We start from the raw sequence: 3,998 nt of genomic DNA on the forward strand, positions 1-3,998 counted from the left end.
CAAACTAGAAAACCTAGAAGAAATTAATAAATTCCTGGAAACAAACAAACTCCTAAGATTGAGGGAGGAAGAAATTGAAACCCTGAACACAGCAATAATGAGTTCCAAAATGGAATCAGTAATAAAAAAACCTATCAATTAGAAAAAGCTCTGGACCACATAGATTCACAGTCAAATTTTACCAGATGTATAAAGAAGAGCTGGTAAGAATCCTACTGAAACTATTCCAAAAAACTGAGGTGGAGAGATTCTTCCCTAACCTATCACATGAGTCTAGAATCATTCTGATACCAAAACCTGGCAGACACACAATAAATAAAAGTTCAGGCCAATATTCAAGATGAACATAGATGCAAAAATTCTCAACAAAGTACTAACAAGCAGAATCCAGCAGCACATCAAAAAGTTAATTCACCATGACAAAACTGGCTTTATTCCTGGGATGCAAGGTTGGTTCAACATAGAAAAATCAATAAATGTGATTCATCACATAAACAGAACTAAAAAATAAAAACCACATGACCATCTCAATACATGCAGAAAAGACTTTAGATAAAATTCAACATTTCTTCAAGTTTAAAACCCTCAACAAACTAGGCATTTAAGGAAAATATATTAGAATAATAAGAGCTGTGTATGACAAACTCATAGTCAACATCACACTGAATGGGAAAAAGCTGAAAGCATTCCTTATGAGAATGAGAATAAGACAAGGATGCCCACTCTCACTATGCTTATTCAACTTAATACTCTAACCGGAGCAATCAGGCAAGAGAAAGAAATAAAAGGCATGCAAGTAGGAAGGGGGGAAGTCAAACAATCTCTCTTTGAATATAATATGATTTTATACCTAGAAAACTTGATAGTCTCTGCCCAAAAGCTTCTAGATCTAATCAACAACTTCAGCAAAGTCTCAGGACTCAAAACCAATGTATAAAAATCAGTAGCATTTCTATACACCAACATCATCCAAGCTAATGCCAAATCAAGAATGCGATCCCATTCACAATAGGCACACAAAAAAATACCTAGGAATATAGCTAAGCAGGAAGGCATCTGATCTCTACAATGAAAATTAAAAAACACTGCTGAAAAAATATCAGACGATACAAACAAATGAAAAAAATATTCCATGCTGATGGATTGGAAGAATCAATATTGTTAAAATGGCCATACTCTGTAATGCACTTTACAGATTCTATAAATTCCTATCAAACTACCAATGATTTTTTTTACAGAACTAGAACAAAAATTATTCTTAAATTCATATGGAACTAAAAAAGGAGGGCAAATAGTCAAAGCAATCATAAGCAAAAAAGAACGAAGCTGGAAGCATCATACTAGCTGACTTCAAACCATACTACAGTAACCAAAACAGCCTGTTACTGGTACAAAAATAGACACAGAGACCAATGGGACAGGTTAGAAAACCCAGAAATAGAGCTGCACACCTACAATCATTTGATCTTTGACAAAGTTGACAAAAACAAGCAATGGGGAAAGGACTTCCTATTCAATAAATGGCTGCTCTGTGATAACTGGATAGCCATATACAGAAGATTGAACTTGTACCCTGTCTTTTCACCCCATAGAAAATCAGCTTGAAATGGATTAAAGGGTTCAATGGAAACCTAAAACGATGAAAACCCTAGAAGAAATCCTAGGAAATTCCATTCCTGACATAGGCCCTGGCAAAGGCTTCATGATGAAGACTCCAAAAGCAATTGCAACAGAAAGAAAAATTGACAAGTGTGACCCAATTAAATTAAAGAGCTCTCAACAGCAAAAGAAACTATCAATATAGTAAACAGAAAACATACAAAATTGGAGAAAATATTTGCAAAGTATGCATTTGACAAAGGTCTAACATCCAAAATCTATAAAGAACTTAAACAAATTAACAAGCAAAAACCAAATAACCCCATTAAAAAATGGGCAAAGGACATGAACAGGCACTTCTCAGAAGAAGACATAAATGTTGTCAACAAGCATATGAAAAAATGTTCAACATCACTAATAACTAGAGAAGTACAAATCAAAACCACAACGAGATACTATCTGATACCAGTCAAAATGGCTATCATTAAAAAGTCAAAAAATAACAGATTCTGTCAAGGTTGTGGAGAAAAGGGAATGCTTATATACTGCTGGTGGGAATGTAAATTAGTTCAGCCACTGTGGGAAGCAGCTTGGAGATTTCTCAAGGAACTTGAAACAGAACCACCATTTGTCCCAGCAATGCCATTATTGGGTATGTACCCAAAAAGAATATAAATTGTTCTACCATAAAGACACACCCATGCATATGTTCATCACAGCACTATTCACAATAGCAAATACATGGAACCAAGCTCAATGTTGACGATGAACTGAATAAACAAAATGTCGTATGTATACACCATGAAATAATATGTGGCCATAAAAAAGAATGAAGTCACATCCTTTGCAGCAACATTAACGGAGGTGGAGGCCATTATCCTAAACGATCTAACTCAAGAACAAAAAAACAAATGCCACATGTTCTCACTTATATGTGGGAACTAAACATTGAGTATACATGGATACAAAGAAGGGAACAATAGACATCAAGGCCTACTTGATAGTGGAGGTTAGAGGGAAGGAGAGGATCAAAAAATCACCTATTGGGTACTATGCTTATTACCCGGATAACAAAATAATTTGTACACCAAACCCCCATGACACACAATTTTTCCATGCAACAAACCTGCACGTGTACCCACTGAGCTTAAAAGTTGGAAAGGAAAAAATAGCCTTATCAATGAAGTTCAGAACTTCAAAAATCCCTAAATCTTAGATACTTTTTTAAAAAGGAGGTATATTAAAGAAAACATTTAAAGATCCTGAATATAATCCTGAACCACTACATGTACTGAAATGGCTCAATTAATGCTAGCTCTTATAGAAACTTGTAAAAATTACTTATAATTTGTTTCTACCAAGGAGCATATGAGGGTTGTGTTGGAATTTTCCCAGGAATCTGGGGCTGTGTCAAACATCCAACCTACTAATAATGTTACCCAACTGCAACTGCCTTATTATCTTCTGTCCCCTACCCCTGCAGAGAGAGAGAAAAAAAGTGCATTTAGGAATTACATTTGTATCTGAAAGGGATGACCCTTCATGTTTTAGAATAACCACAATTTCACATCAGCAGTCAGTGATGTAACAATTAGGGCTTTTTGAATGGCAGGCTAAGGTGTAGAACAGGGCACTTGTTTTAGAATAACCACAATTTCACATCAGCAGTCAGTGATGTAACAATTAGGGCTTTTTGAATGGCAGGCTAAGGTGTAGAACAGGGGACTTGTCTTTGAATCAGGTAAACTTGATTTCCCAACTGATATGATTTGGCTGTGTCCCTACCCAAACCTCATCTTGAATTATAGCTCCCATAATCCCCATGTGTCATGGGAGGGACCTGGCAGAAGGTAATTGAATCATGGGGGCAGGTTTGGCTGTTGCTGTTCCTGTGATAGTGAGTAAGTCTCAAGAGATCTTACAGTTTTATAAAGGGTTGTTCCCCTGCACGTGCTGTCTTGCCTACTGCCATGTAAGATGTGCTTTTGCTCCTCCTTGGCCTTCCACCATGATTGTGAGGATTTCCCAGCCAGGTGAAACTGTGAGACCACTAAACCTCTTTTTTTTTTTTTTTTTTTTTAGGCAGAGTCTCACTCTTGTTGCCTAGGCTGGAGTGCAATGGCATGATCTCAGCTCACTGCAACGTCTGCCTCCCAGGTTCAAATGATTGTCCTGACTCAGCCTCCCAAGTAGCTGGAATTACAGGAGCCTGCCACCATGCCTGTATAATTTTTTTTTGTATTTTTAGAACAGACAGGGTTTCACCATGTTGGCCAGGCTAGTCTCGAACCCCTGACCTCAGGTGATCTGCCCACCTTGGCCTCCCAAAGTGTTGGGATTACAGGCATGAGCCCACTGCACCCCACTAAATCTCTTTTGTTTTTTTTTTTTGATAAACT

This window comes from Homo sapiens, chromosome 11 (assembly GCF_000001405.40).
Source record: "Homo sapiens chromosome 11, GRCh38.p14 Primary Assembly".
NCBI lineage: Eukaryota > Metazoa > Chordata > Mammalia > Primates > Hominidae > Homo > Homo sapiens.